The sequence below is a fragment of the Homo sapiens genome, chromosome 4 (assembly GCF_000001405.40).
Source record: "Homo sapiens chromosome 4, GRCh38.p14 Primary Assembly".
NCBI classification, from domain to species: domain Eukaryota; kingdom Metazoa; phylum Chordata; class Mammalia; order Primates; family Hominidae; genus Homo; species Homo sapiens.
Window position 1 is genome coordinate 185,116,797 of NC_000004.12, and position 15,584 is coordinate 185,132,380.

The 15,584-nt window shown below is 45.1% G+C and overlaps 5 annotated features.

Moving 5' to 3' along the window:
* Positions 6,121-6,180: an enhancer, noted in NCBI's record as "active region_22246". NCBI's record gives its function as "activates an Ori minimal core promoter by ATAC-STARR-seq in GM12878 lymphoblastoid cells {active_cell/tissue: GM12878}" and the evidence as "EXISTENCE:reporter gene assay evidence [ECO:0000049][PMID:35858748]".
* Positions 6,281-6,400: an enhancer, noted in NCBI's record as "active region_22247". NCBI's record gives its function as "activates an Ori minimal core promoter by ATAC-STARR-seq in GM12878 lymphoblastoid cells {active_cell/tissue: GM12878}" and the evidence as "EXISTENCE:reporter gene assay evidence [ECO:0000049][PMID:35858748]".
* Positions 11,840-11,939: a silencer, noted in NCBI's record as "silent region_15846". NCBI's record gives its function as "represses an Ori minimal core promoter by ATAC-STARR-seq in GM12878 lymphoblastoid cells {active_cell/tissue: GM12878}" and the evidence as "EXISTENCE:reporter gene assay evidence [ECO:0000049][PMID:35858748]".
* Positions 11,840-12,454: a biological region, named in NCBI's record as "H3K27ac-H3K4me1 hESC enhancer GRCh37_chr4:186049861-186050404".
* Positions 11,911-12,454: an enhancer, noted in NCBI's record as "H3K27ac-H3K4me1 hESC enhancer chr4:186049861-186050404 (GRCh37/hg19 assembly coordinates)". NCBI's record gives its function as "activates a minimal SCP1, AML or CMV promoter by ChIP-STARR-seq in naive H9 embryonic stem cells {active_cell/tissue: H9 hESC(naive)}" and the evidence as "EXISTENCE:reporter gene assay evidence [ECO:0000049][PMID:30033119]".

The following is a 15,584-nucleotide window of genomic DNA, read 5'->3' on the forward strand; positions in this document are numbered from 1 at the left end:
TACATTTTCTTGATTATATTTTTCTATAGGTTCCAATTTGTCTATAATAAATATATGTTTTTTAATCTGAAAAATCCTCAAATGTAAAACAATGGAATGTGGGCCAAGTATAATTCTTAAAATACATTTACTTTTTGCCTCTTTTTTTCTGGATCATGTTTTTCAAGTTCTCTCAAATTCCTAAATTCTTCTCTGAACTTTTCTTTCAGTCACTTCTTTACATCAAGTAGCTCTTCTTGTTCCTCTGTTCTTGGTTTTTTGTTTTGTTTTGTTTTGTTTTTTAGCATGGTCTATAGATAAAACTGAAGAGGGAAAAGACCAAATGTTTACTTACTTTAAAATCATATAAAAATCCCAAAAAGGTAATTTTTTGGCAAGAAGTAGGTTTGACCCTTTGCATAAAGTATTATTTTACTTTGGGAAATAAAGATTTAAATCACTTTGCATATAAATCTAAAATATACCTATGCATATCAGATTTTTTTAACCTGGAGTCCATGAACATCTAGGGGTTCACTTAATTTGAGGTATCCTCAAATTATGGTCTAGCTTTTTATTTCTTCTTTGTAATCCATCAGCCTTTGGTAAGGTCTTTTTGAACCCTCAGCTTTGTCTCAGCTGCGCCTTGGAGTCTCCCAGGAGGGCCCTTAGGCCACAGCTGGGGAAGCCTCCCATGGTGGGTGTGGAGGTAGCCGCAAGGGTCGATGAGAAGCCAAAGCTGAAGTGACTCTCAGGGGAACAGAGGGAGAACTTCTCAGCCTGGCTTCTCTGCCTCACCTGGGAGATTCTCTTTTTAGCGTTCACCTTGAAAATTCTGACTTTGTTTTATTAAGAAAGGTGATTTTTTTATGATGTACACATACTTTATAATGTCAAAGAATAAACATGTGTGGCTTGCCTCATCTGTTTAGTTTTTACCTGAAACCTCTGCATTTTTTGATGATTCATTGTGATCTTCTACTCCCAATTTTTTAAGAGTTGCATCTCTATTGAGAACACCTATTCCGTTCTCACCATACCATTAATGGAAATGATACATGTGGTTTCATATGTAATGTGGTTTAATATGTGTTTTATGACACTGACAAGTTCCTTGTCTAGCGATGGCAAATGTGAGCTATGTGGGCTGCCGATTTCTCCTCCTGGGTGCCTATCAGACAACACTATTCAACACAGCATTCTTCTTGTTGAGCCCAGATTCAGCCTCAGAAGTTTTCCCAAGTTCTACCAAACACTTGGCAATGGTATGCCGTATGAAATATATTTATTTATATATATGTATACAGATATATATACACACACATAATAGATTTGTCTGTTTTATTATGTTAAAAATGAAAAATTCTTTAGAACTCCTTTGTCAGACCATGTGTCCTGAGTTTGGATTTGAAAAAAATATTCTCATTGTATGCACACCACATATACTCTTGCATGCGTAATTATGGTGAAATACATCAACTGCTCATGCTTTGCTCTTAGTAGGAAATTACAGGGACAGGTCCTGGCCCTCTGGGCTGTGTGATTTCACAGGCTGATTCTCTGAGTCAGGCCCAGACAGAATATGTTTGGGCCTGACTTTGTCACCTTTGTAATTTTTGTTTTTTTTGTTTGTTTGTTTTGTTTTTTGAAACAGAGTCTCACTGTGTCACCAAGGCTGGAGTGCAGTGGCACGATCTCAGCTCACTGCAACCTCCGCTTCCTGGGTTTAAGCAATTCTCATGCCTCAGCCTCCCGAGTAGCTGGAATTATAGACATGTGCCACCACGCCTGGCTAATTTTTGTATTTTTGGTAGAGACAGGGTTTCACCATGTTGACCGAGCTGGTCTCACACTCTTGACCTCAGGTGACCTGCCTGCCTCAGCCTCCCAAAGTGCTGGGATTACAGGCGTGAGCCACCACGCCCGGCCTGTTATCCTTGTAATTAATAACTAATGTTCTTAGCTACTTTCCCCTTCCACTGAATCTCCCTCTTTCTTAATCAAGGCTTGGAGAGGTCTTTTTTAAAATTCTAGCCTCAATATCGTTCTTTCATCTACTGAGCTATTCCATGGTATGAGATCCAGGAACCTGTTTTCAATAAAAAGAACAATGGATTGGCTAAAATGTGAAATATGTTTCACTACAGATATATCTGTACTGTATATAGACTCCCATTGGCTTTTTCTTTTGCTAATAAAACATGTTCATTTTGATTGTTAGAATTTTATTATTTATCAGTGTGAAGGCAGAGGGGAAATAACCAATAAGTCACGCCTATAGCCGTGTCTGAGATAAAAGCCGTCTGTGAAAGACATTTAGCCCTATGAGTTCCAACAGAAGCTGCTGGACATTCAGAATCAGCCTGCAATTCCTTTTTTTGAAAAAGACATGCAGTGATTTACTCGTTAGGTCAAAAGCAGAAAGGTGTCTCCCTTGTTTGGGCTTCTCCGTTGAGGTTTATATGGATCTGCGAGGCTGCCATCAGTGTCCCCGCCTTCTGTTAAAAGGGTCAAACCCAGCAAGAATTCCGAGGGAACGGGTTCCTGTCCCCAAACTGCTGCATAGAACTCTTCAAACTTTATTGTGCTCTTGGCTTGGAGTTTCAGCCTATAAGAAATTAAGAATATAGGGAAAAGGAAAAGGGATTTGCAAACAGAACAGATTTGCAAATAGAACAGAGTTGTATTCCAGGAAACACAGTAACCAGATCCCTTCCCAAAACGTTTACCCTTTTTAGCTCAGATATTAAGTTTGTTGTTGTTGTTTTGTTTTTGCTTTTTTTTTGTTGTTTTTTGAAACAGGGTCCCACTCTGTCACCCAGGCTGGAGTACAGTGGCATGATCTCGGCTCACAGCAACCTTCACCTCCTGGGTTCAAGCGATTCTCCTACTTCAGCCTCTGGAGTAGCTGGAACTACGGCCCACACCAACACACCTGGCTAATTTTTGTATTTTTTTTTTTGTTTGTTTTTTTTTTTTTTTTGGTGGAGACAGGGTTTCACCATGTTGGCCAGGCTGGTCTCAAACTCCTGACCTCAAGTGATCCACCAGCCTCAGCCTCCGAAAGTGCTGGGATTATAGGCATGAGCCACCGCACCCAGCCAGATATTAAGTTTTAAAGTTTAAAAATGTGGTTTCGAATTTTACAGTTTTCTTCAAGTTGATGTGGAAGAAAATAAGGAATAAGTTAAAAAATAATAATGAAGACAGTGACTTTGAAACTAGGGCTATCAGTCTAAAAGTAACTTCTTCATAAACATACTCTGTGTTGTGGAAATTGGTCATACAAGCTGAGTCATTCTTATCCACCCAACCAAAATAGAGTGGAGGGCTGGGGGGAAAGAGCACTCAGGACATGTGACATTGCTCTTGAAATAAAATTCTCTGCAAGTCTAGTGGCTGAAACTGCCTATTGTAGCCTGAGACCAGTTTTATCTGTCGCCTCAGCAGCTACAACTCTAGGACTAATTTTGGCCACCACAGTCACCCACCAAATGGAGCTGGCCAGCCCCCAGAGCTTTGCTAAAACCAAAGAACTTTCTCCAGGACCACACAGAACATGCCCTTTTTTTTTTTCCATAAAATCCCCAACCTCCTTTACATTCTTTAGACATACCAAAAACCACTTAGTCTGCCTGTATGCCCTGAGTTGCAATTCTTTCTTCCCAAATAAAGCGTGAAATTTAGAGTTATCTCTAATTTTTTATTCTCACTTCCACAGTGTGTATGTGGGTGTATGTAGGGGCGGGGAAAAGGGAAAAAGGAAGGGAGAGAGAGACAGAAACAGATCATAATCTTGCTTGCCTGTATGGCAGGGCTGGATTTTGTGTTGTTTCATGGTAGAAATCAGATTGTAGCAATGAAAAGAAAGAACGACAGCAGGAAAGCATTCCTAATTCCTCAGGTACCTGTCCTGCCAGCTGAACCCTTCTTCAGAGATCTCCCAGCTTCACAGCCCTGACTCAGCGGGGCGTAAATGGCTTGTAGCAGCCACGGGGCCCCATGGAGATGATTGGCCTGAGCAGGAGTTGGGGATGCTGCTTGGGACTGATCTATCTTCTCAGGAATTTAGACAACACCGTGAAAAGCACATCTCTGCAAGAATTAAAGAGTCCGAAAATGAGATATGATGATTTAAAAAAAAAAGGAAAGGCCAGCACTGTCCACTTTGATGTGATTGTGTGTTGTTTCCCTCATATAAACAATATTACCAGCCAGGTGCAGTGGCTCACACCGTAATGCCAGCACTTTGGGAGGCCGAGGCCAGTGGATCACCTGAGGTCAGGATTTCAAGACCAGCCTGACCAACATGGTGAAACTCCATCTCTACTAAAAATACAAAAAAAAAAAAAAAAAATTAGCCTGGTGTGGTGGTGCATACCTATAATCCCAGCTACTCGGGAGACCGAGACAGGAGAATCACTTGAACCCAGGAAGCGGAGGTTGCAGTGAGCCGAGATTGCGCCACTGTACTTCAGACTGGGCAACAGAGCAAGACTCTGTCTCAAAACAAAAATAAAAATAAAAAACACAATATTGCCTTCACCCCTTTTCCATCTTCCCTTCATCCTCTCCTCCTGCCTCCAGTTTAATTACTTGGTAAGTTTGCTAAACATTTATTGAGAATAGAACACTCCCCAAACACTGGGGATTCACAGTCGATTAAGATATGGTCTGTGTGAGCAAGGCGTTTGGCCTAGCTGGAACAGCTAAGTACAGGATGATCAGTGCTTTGACGCAGGGTGTTGATACAGTTTGAATATGGCCCCCTCCAAATATCATGTTGAATTGTAATCCCCAGTGTTGGAGGTGGGGCCCGGTGGGAGATGATTGGGTCATGGGGGCGGATTTCTCTTGAGTGGTTTAGCAGATTCCCGTTGGCGCTGTGCTCGAGATGAGTGAGTTCTCATGAGATCTGGCCATTGAAAAGTGTGAGGCATCTCCCGGCACGCTCGCTGTCTCTTGGTCTCGTTCTCACCATGTGATGCGCCTGCTCCCCCTTTGCCTTCTGCCATGATTGGAAGTTTCCTGAGGCCTCCCTGGAAGCCTATATATATAATCTATATGTATAATATAGATTATACATGTATCATCATATCTGTCCTAATATCTTTTTATTCTCACTTAGCCTTTTTACAGTAACATTTTCTCATGTTATTACAAGCTTTTTTGGAAACAATATTTTCACTGGCTGTGTAATATTTGCTCATCTGAAAGTTTTACAATTTATTGTTTACTTAGCCATTGCCCTCATGTTGGCTATTAGGTTCTTTCCAATTTCTCTCAATGATGATCAACTCTCTCAGGAAGAATTTTATGCAATAAAATTTTCCCTGTATTTTGAACTATTTTCTTAAGATAACCTAGGCTGGGTGCAGTGGCTCACGCCTGTAATCCCAGAACTTTAGGAGGCCGAGGTGGGTGGATCATGAAGTCAAGTGGTCGAGACCATCCTGGTCAACATGGTGAAACCCCATCTCTACTAAAAATACAAAACTTAGCCAGGTGTGACAGCGCGCGCCTGTAGTCCCAGCTACTCCAGAGGCTGAGGCAGGAGAATTGCTTGAACCCAGGAAGTGGAGGCTGCAGTGAGCCGAGATCGCGCCACTGCACTCCAGCCTGGGCAACAGAGCAAGACTCCATCTCAAAACAAAACAAACAAACAAACAAAAAAACGATAACCTTACATTAGTGGAATAACCGGGACAAACAGAATGAATGAGGGTCTTGATAAAATTATCTTCCAAGTCATCTGCAAATTGTTACTCTCTCCAAAAAAAATTGCATTAAGAGTGCCAAGATATGAGTTTCTTATGGATGGAATGATTTGAGGCAAGTTACTTAACTTTCCTGAGCTTCAGCTTCCTCATCTGTAAAATGAAGATGCTGACCTCATCCAACTATGACCCTTTAAAGATGTAGCCTGTGGAATGTGGCACATGTTCTGGTAGACAGTCAGTGCTCAACCGAAATATAAGTGTCCTTCTCCCCTTCCCTTTCCTTCATCCACTGTTAAGTAAAAATGAAGCTCTGTTCAGCTTCAGGTTTCCTAGTAGCCACTCATCTAGATAATGATCAAAACATCTTAACCACAAGGCGTCTCAAGTGGTTACTGTACAAATATAGACAGAATCTCTTCTCTATAATTGGTTTATAGAACCCTACTAGATACTGTGTAATCACATTGAAAATACATGATTTGGTGCATCTGTTTACTGTGCTTCTGAACAGGGGTAATGTTTTATCTATTTTGTCCATTTTATCCTTGTGCAAGTTATTTACCATCTCTGTTCTCAGTTTCCTCATGACAAAAATAAGGTTACTACCAGTCCTACCTTCTTTTTATAGCTGAATATGAAAGTACTTCACTAACTACTGAGGTTTTGCTCGGAGACTAAATACATGCACGCTGAGCAGGTTATAGGTACCACTGGCCGCATGTCAGATACATATGAAAGAAAAAAGGAAAGACGGAATGAATCTTTACCCAGAGCCTGCATTTTACAGACATTAATTACACACAAGATCCTGAGAGGTACTTCATAGTTGCTCAGATTTTACATAGACTAGGAAACTGAAATTCAGCAAAGGGAAGTAGCTTCCTCAAGGTCTTAAGCGACTTAAGCTACCAAGCGGTAGAGGCATAATTGGCTAATGCTAAACAGTACCCTGAGGGACAGAAAGGATATTTATGTTTTATCAACTTCATCATTAGTAACACAATTGTGGGACTGAACAATGAAATGTTTTATGAACTTTCACTTTGCTGCTTAGAGAGAAAAATACAAGGTAAATGCGTCGGAGATGTACGCTATTAGTTCCACTCGAAGGATCACTTGAAAGGACCCTGCGTTGATCACTACCATATATCATCAGCAACTGGGGCAAACTATGATGCGTGTGTGGAGAGGGGATAGGGAGAGTGGGAGAGATCTCATCATCCTAAAGCCTTATTTGGTTTCAGGTTACAAAATATATAAACAAATTCCATTGGGAAGATAGCTTCATCGCTACAGTAAGCATGAGGTGTCATCTCTGCAGGCAGTAGGTGCCTGTAACCTTGTGTAGCTGCCATGGGCCTCCTACTAAGCGAGAGTCATGTCAGCTCTTGGGAAGGAGACACACAGAAGGAGAAGGATTCTTATATCACCCGGGGTATTGCTCCTGTCACAAAAGGATTCTTAGGACCACAGTGATAGCTCCACAAAGGTGCAGGCAAAAAAACTGGCTGAGACTGTAAACTCAAATAACTAATATTTCTATTATGTTTAACGAGATGAAAGTGTAGTTTTATAGGCCAAATTCAGTCAAGTATCATCATTTCCATATAGTTTAACGTGTGTGTGTTTGTGTGTGTGTGTGTGTGTGTGTGTGTAATTAAGACATACATCCAAAAGTTGTTTCTGGGAACTGATTCCAAAAGTGAGGCTTGGCAGGCTTTGGGTAAGCTATCACCTCTAAATTATCTTCATCACTTTTAAAATGGAACTATGACATACTGTGATGTATATTTAAAACTGTGCAAAAGAAAAATAATTCCAACAGAATCTCCTGTCTTCCAAGTCCTGCAGTCCTTTAAATTCTGCACCTAAAAATATGCCACGTATAACATGTAGAATAGCATTTGTGTATATTTTGATGGCTAAATGGATAATCCTTTATAGGACTATCTATATTACCCCAGGTATGGGAGGGGACATTAAATAAGGGACCAGGAGCCCTGTGCCTACTAGCTGTATGACCTTCTCTGGACTTCAGTTCACATCTGTGTAAAACAAAGATAACTTGCCTCATGGAGTAACTTGTGAGTATGACATGACACGTAATAAAGTAAGTGAGAGACCCTTACAATTATAAAGTGTTAAAAATGTGGATTACCACATTTTAATAAAGGGCAAGACTGCAGTTCACTGAAGAATCATATCTGTGGTTTGAAAGGAGCTGAAATAGTTGGCTTCCACTTCTTGCAAGGGTAGGAGAGCCATCCACAGACAGGCTTCTGTGTGGTGACAACGCAACACAAAGGACAACATGCCCGCGTGTGAAATCGGTTAATGTGGTCAGTGCAGACAGACCCATCTCAGCACTGCGGCCCTGGAAGATTATTTCACGGGTTTAAATCATTCCAATAGGCTTCATACAGGGATCAAATTGATTGGGTAATTATAAATGCCCATTTCATTATTCTGGTTGTGTAGAGAGATAATTTTGTTGTTATTGTTTTGGAGACAGGGTTTTGCTCTGTCGCCCAAGCTGGAGTGCCGTGGCACGAACACAGTTCATTGCAGTATCAAATTCCTGGCCTCCAGCAGTCCTCCCTCCTTGGCCTCCCAAAGGGCTGGAATTACAAGCGTCAGCCACTGCACCCAGCCTACAGAGGGAGTTTAAGCCCAGCTAGTTTGTATGGGTTTTGTCTCTTTGTATCTTCAGCACATTAAAGCAAAGTCACTTTGGTAAACAGCAAACACTCAGATGATCTGCTTGTGTACACTGCAGTGACTAAGATGTAGTTGCTGCCCTCCAAGGTCTAACACCTGGGTCTGAGTGGTGGTGTCCAAAAGACCATCAAGGTGGCTAAAGAGTAGAAAGGAGAGCTTTATTGGGATATCAGTTTGCAAAATGGGAAGAGATGGTCTCCAGCATGGACAGAAGGCGCTCTCTCTTTGAAGAGGGAAAGGGCAGGCTGGGTTTTATGCCTTACAGGGTCTGTATCACACAATAGAGTCAGAGATATTCAGCAAACTTGGGGTAAAAGCTATACATGTTTATAAGGGGTGCTGAGCACATACACAGTGCACATATGTTGGGAGCAGTCCCCCCAAAATCTGGCCATAAACTGGCCCCAAAACTGGCCATAAACAAAATCTCTGCAGCACTGTGGCATGTTCATGATGGCCATAAAGCCCAGGCTGGAAGGTTGTGGGTTTAGGGGAATGAGGGCAAGGAACACCTGGCCCGCCCAGGGCAGAAAACCGCTTAAAGGCATTCTTAAGCCACAAACAATAGCATGAGCGATCTCTGCCTTAAGGACATGCTCCTGCTACAGTTAATTAGCCCAACCTATTCCTTTAATTGGGCCCATCCCTTCTTTTCCCATAAGGGATACTTTTAGTTAATTTAATATCTATAGAAACAATGCTAATGACTGGCTTGCTGTTAATAAATACGTGGGTAAATCTCTGTTCGGGGCTCTCAGCTCTGAAGGCTGTGAGACCCCTGATTTCCCACTTCACACCTCTATATTTCTGTATGTGTGTCTTTAATTCCTCTAGCGCCGCTGGGTTAGGGTCTCCCCGACCGAGCTGGTCTTGGCAACATACATACATATAACATATATCGCATGTTCACTTTGTGGTGGTGTTTTACCATTAAAATGAGGTGGGGCCAGGCACGGTGGCTCACGCCTGTAATCCCAACACTTTGGGAGGCCGAGGTGGGCAGATCACCTGAGGTCAGGAGTTCGAGACCAGCCTGACCACCATGGCAAAGCCTCGTCTCTACTAAAAATACAAAAATTAGCTGGGCGTGGTGGCGGGTCCCTGTAATCCCAGCTACTCTGGAAGCTAAGGCAGGAGAATCGCTTGAACTCTGGAGGCGGAGGTTGCAGTGAGCCGAGATCGTGCCGCTGCACTCCAGCCTGGGCGACAGAGCAAGACTCCCTCTCAAAAAAAAAAAAAAATAATAATAAAATAAAAAATAGAATGTGAGCAGCAGGACGGAGGAAATAGGACACATTCTGTAGAAAATAGGGAGACACCCTACAGGCCTTCAAGCAGGAAAGTAACACTTCAAAGGAATGCAGACCGAGATGAAGGTCTATTTCCTCCCACCAGCACTGGTGCCAAGTCCAATGCCTGATTTTTTTTTTTTTTTTTTTTTTTTTTTTTTTTTTTTACAGAGTCTCACTCTGTCGCCCGGCTGGAGTGCAGGGGCACGATCTCGGCTCAGTGCAACCTTTACCTCCAGGATTCAAGCTATTCTCCTGCCTCAGCCTCCCAAGTAGCTGGGTCCACAGGCCCCCGCCACCACACCCGGCTAATTTTTTTTGTATTTTCAGTAGAGACAGGGTTTCACCATGTTGACCAGGCTGGTCTCGAACTCCTGACCTCGCAATTTGCAGTCTCCCAAAGTGCTGGAATTACAGGGGTGAACCACCGCGCCCAGCCGATTTTTTTTTTCTAATTTTAGATTCCGAGATACATGTGCAGGTTTGTTACCTGGGTATATCGCATGATGCTGAGGTTTGGGCTTTTATTGAACCCATTAACCAAATAGTGAACATGGTACCCGATAGGTCGTTTTTCAGCTGTTGGCCCCCTCCCCCGCTTGCCACTTTTGGCGCCCAAGTGCTCATTGTTCCCATCTGTGTGTCCACAGGTTCCCAATCTTCAGCTCAGACTTACAAGTGAGAACATGCAGGATCTGGTTTTCTGTTCCTGGTGCTAATTGGCTTAGGACATGGCCTCTAGCTGCATCCATGTTGCGGCTAAGGTCAAGATTTTGTTCCTTTTTATGGCTGAGTACCTGGTGATTTTTTAAAAGAAAAGTTTGCTGAACTGAACCAATTCACACTGAGGCCTGCACGGTGGGGCTTCTGGAAGCAGCACTCTTGCGGAGGCTGCGACCAGGACCCAGTTGGAGGCGCCTGGGTGTAGCGCCTAGGCAGGGAGAAGCCCCGGAGGACGAGGCCTCTGACCGGCCGCAGCACTCAGTTCCCGGCACCGCGGTGAGGACCGCGCCCGCGCCACGCGCGCCGAAAGGACTCCGCGAGCTCCTGCAGGTAACGGGCTCGGTGCAGTCCGGAGCCCAGACCAGGCAGTTGCTGAGTTATGTCCGGGCGAGATCGGTGTCCTTCAGGGTGGGAGGCTCAGAAACCCAGCGCGCGAGCCTCTGGGCAGTGGTAAGGGCGGGTTGGGAGTCGGGTTCGGCGAGTCCAAAGGAGGCTCCCGGGCTGCAGAGGCCCCGGCAGGCTGTCTCCGCCCCACGAGCCCCTTCTCCTGCGGTCTCCTGGACTGCGGCGACGAAGCGTCGGGGCTGGGGCTCCAGTCGCCTGGGGATGCGCTGCGCGCCCAGGGCGGCTTCGGGGCCCTGAGGCGGGACTGAGGGTGCGGGAGGGCGGAAGGGGGCGCGGACGCTCCGGAACTCACGGTCCGGGCTGAACCAGGGCTTGGAAGACCCTCGGGAAAGTACGGGCGTTCTGTGTCCGGGATGTGTGCTGCGGGTCGGACTGGGGGTTAGGTTGAGAAGGGGGCACTAAGATTTACTTTATTTTATTTTATTTTATTTTATTACTTATTTATTTATTGAGACAGAGTCTCTCTCTTGTCGCCCAGGCTGGAGTGCAGTGGCGCGATCTCCGCTCACTGCAAGCTCCGCCTCCCGGGTTCACGCCATTCTCCTGCCTCAGCCTCCTGAGTAGCTGGGACTACAGGCGCCCACCACCACGCCCGGCTAATTTTTTTGTATTTTTTGTAAAGATGGGGTCTCGCCATGTTGGCCAGGCTAGTCTCGAACTCCTGGGCTCAAGAGATCCTCCCGCCTCGGCCACCCAAAGTGCCAGGATTCCAGGCGTGAGCCCCGCGCCCTCCCCTTGCGGAGATTCGGCCTGGAAAGCTCCGCGGCTCTGGCCGGCACCGGTTTCCTTCCCGCCTCCCCGCACTCCCACCCCCGCTCCTAGTTCAGAGCGCTGGTGGCGTTACCCACAGCCGCGGAATCCCCTTTACTGTTCCCGGAGGAGCTGCGAGGTGGAACTGGCCGCGCGGTGGGGGCTTTCCCCGGCCCCGGGACGAGCACTCAGCGTCCCCTCCCCGCGACGCTCCCTCGGAATCCCGGGGAAGAGCGCAGCAGAGGCGGGGAGGAGGCGCGAGCGGAGGGGACCGACTTCCACCGCACCTGGGTGTCGCCAGCCCCGCCTGGCCCTCGGCGCCGGGACCCCGACGCACCCCGCGCATAGCGACTGGTGGCCTGGTGGGGGACTGCGCCTGCGAGGCCTTCTTCGCGCAGAGATATCGGGGTTCTCTGAACCCCAGAAATGGGCCTGGCAGGGGAAGGAAGCTGCAAGAAAGGAGTTAATCTGCAGGATGCTCAATTCTTTCTATGACAAATCGCTTCACTCCCCGCTCGGCAGGTCAGAGCTAGGGGTGACCGAGTTACGCCGCGGGCGCTGCCTGAGCAACGCTTTCTACCGCGGTCCTAGTGTCTCCGCTCCCTGGAAATAAATACTGAGCGCTGACTGCATACCTCTTTATGCGGCTCGCGGAGAACAGTTAAACAGGTCCCTGCACGAGGCCGTTCTAGTTAGTATGTCCCTATGACGCCTTTGTCTGCTACTCAGGTTGAATGTCCCGTTTGTATCTTAGTGGACTTGGCGGATGGTAGGCGCATGTTTAGCCTTAGTGGACACTACCAAATGGCTTTCCAAAGTACCATTTTATTTTTCTGCCAGCAATGTGGGAGAATTCCAGTTGTTCCGCGTTCTTACCAGCACTTGGCGTTCTGTCTGTTTTAATTTTAGCATTCTGGAGTGTGTAGTGGTATCTCACTGTTCTTGTTTAGGTTGATTCATGTGATATTGCTGTTAATGGGCCACTTTGGGGCTTATTGGCAATTCCTTCTCTCTCTCTCTCTCTTTCTCTCTTTTTTTCTTTCTTTCTTTCTTTTTTATTTATTTATTTTTTTGAGACGGTGTCTTGCTCTTTCGCCCAAGCTGGAGTGCAGTGGCGCGATCTCGGCTCACTGCAAGCTCCGCCTCTTGGGTTCGCGCCATTCTCCTGCCTCAGCCTCCCGAGTAGCTGGGACTACAGGCGCCCACCACCATGCCCGGCTAATTTTTTGTATTTTTAGTAGAGACGGGGTTTCACCGTGTTAGCCAGGATGGTCTCGATCTCCCGACCTCGTGATCCACCCGCCTCGGCCTTCCAAAGTGCTGGGATTACAGGCGTGAGCCACTGCGCCCCGCCCCTTTTCTTTCTTTTTTCACAGAGTCTCGCTGTGTCGCCGAGGATGGAGTGCAGTGGCGCGATCTCGGCTCACTGCAATCTCCGCCTCCTGGGTTCAAGTGATTCTCCTGCCTCCGCCTCCCGAGTAGCTGCGACTACAGGCGTCCACCACCACACCCAACTGATTTTTGTATTTTTAGTAGGAACAAGAGTTTCATCATGCTGGCCAGGTTGGTCGCGAACACCTGACCTCAGGTGATCCGCCTGCCTGGGCCTCCCAAAGTGCTGGGATTACAGGCGTGAGCCACTGCGCCTGTCCTTTATTGGCTATTTATTTATTTCTTTTATTTATTTTTGCGATGCAGTTTCGCTCTTTTTGCCCAGGCTGGAGTGCAATGACTCGATCTCGGCTCACTGCAACCTCCACCTCCCGGGCTCAAGCCATTCTTCTGCCTCAGCCTCCCGAGTAGCTGAGACTACAGGCCCACGCCACCATGCCCAGCTAATTTTGTATTTGTATTTTTAGTAGAGACGGAGTTTCACCATGTTGGCCAGGCTGGTCTCAAACTCCTGACCTCAGGTGATCCACCCACCTCGGCCTCCCAAGGTGCTGGGATTACAGGCATGAGCCACCGCGCCGGCCGGCAATTTCGTATGTTTCAACCTAATAATCTGCATTTGCCTGGTGAGTAATGATGGTGAACACCTTTCCAAATGCTTATTAACTATGGGTGTGATCTCTTTTGTGAAGCCTATGTTTCTGTTCAAGCCCGATCTATTTTTAGGTTAGGTTACTTGTGTTTTTCTTTTCTGATCATCTGTAGTGTAAACCAAAGAGTATCTGAGACAAGTCTCAATTTAGAAAGTTTATTTTGTCATGGTTAAGGCCACACCCAAGACACAGCCACAGGAGGTCCTGGCGACATGTACAAAGGTGGTCGAGGTACAGCTCGCTTTTATACATTTTAGGGAGACATAATACATCAACCAATACGTGTAAGGTTTATATTAGTTCTATCTGGAAGAGCAGGACAACTGGAAGGAGGAGAGCGGCTTCCAGGTCATAGGTAGATTTAAACATATTCTGATTGGTGACTGTTCATGGTGGCGGCTCATGCGTGTAATGCCAGCACATTGGGAGGCTGAGGCGGGTGGATCACTCGAGGCCAAGAGTGCCAGACCAGGCTAGCCAACATGGCGAAACCCTGCCTCTACTAAAAATACAAAAATTAGCTGGGTGTGGTGGCACACGCCTGTGGTCCCAGCTACTCGGGAGGCTGAAGCATGAGAATTGCTTAAACTGAGAGCCAGGGGCTGCAATGAGCAGAGATAGTGCCACTGCACTCCAGCCTGGGCTGCAGTACAGGCCCTGTCTCAAATAATAATAACAATAAATAAATAAACCTATTTTGATTGGCAATTGGTTGAAAGAGTTATTATCTATAGAAAGGAATGGTTATGATAAGGGGTTGTGGAGACCTAGGTTTTATCATGCAGATAAAGCCTCCAGGTAGCAGGCTTTAGAGGAAACAGACTAAATGTTTCTTATCAGACTTTAGGTTGATGTTAATGGTGGAGGGGTCGAAGCCCCACTTCTTGTCATGGCCTGAACCACTCTTTCAGGTTAAAAGTGCCCTGGCCAAAGAGGAAGGCCCCGAGGTTGGAGGAGGAGGGGTAGTTAAATTTTATTTTTGGTTTACAGTAGTTTGCCTTTTCACTCTGAATGGTGTATTATGAACTGAATTGTGTCCCCCTAAAATCCATCTATTGAAGCCCAAATCCCCAGTATCTCAGAAAATGACTATCTTTGGAGGCAATTAAGTTAAAATGGGTTGTTGGAGTGGGCCCTAATCCAATATGATTGGGGCCCTTATAAGAAGAGATTAGAACCCAGACACGCATGGAAGGCAGACCATGAAAATAGAGGGAAGGCAGCCATCTGCAAGTTAAGCAGAGAGGCCTCAGGGGAAACCAAATCTGCCAACATTTTGATCTTGGACTTCTAGCTTCCAGAACTGTGAGAAAATAAATATGGTGTTTAAGTCTCCCACTCTATGGTATTCTGTTATAATGGTCCCAGCCAACTGATGCGGAGTGTACTTGATAAATAAAAATTCAATGAAGTCGAATTCATCAATTTTTTCATGGTTAATTTTATAATTGTTTAAAAAAATTGTGTAAAATCCATTCTCAATTTAAAAAAAGGTTAAGAAAAGAGAATAAAAATCAATAGTTTTTAAAGGTATGGCCACACAAAGAAACAATGTATAGCTAAAAACTAATATCACATTTAATGAGGAAACATTAAAAATATTACAACTAAAGTGAGGACAAATACAGGCTATCAGTATCTCCACTACTATTTAAAATTATTCTGAGGATATTGGCTGATGCAATTACACAAAAGAAAAAACCAAGGAACACAAATTATAAAGAAGTAAAAATGGTCATTATTTACAGGTGATTTGATTTCTGAACTGGAAAACTCAAAGGAATCAATTGAAAAACTGTTGCAACAATAATGTCAGACTTCTTTAAGATGACTCAGTTCAAGTATTAAAAAAAAAGTCTTTCTGTATACAAACAACTCCTTTGGAGAAATAAATAGAAGAGGGTATACTATTTAAAATAGCACCATAAAAGAAAACATCTCTGAATAAAAGCAAC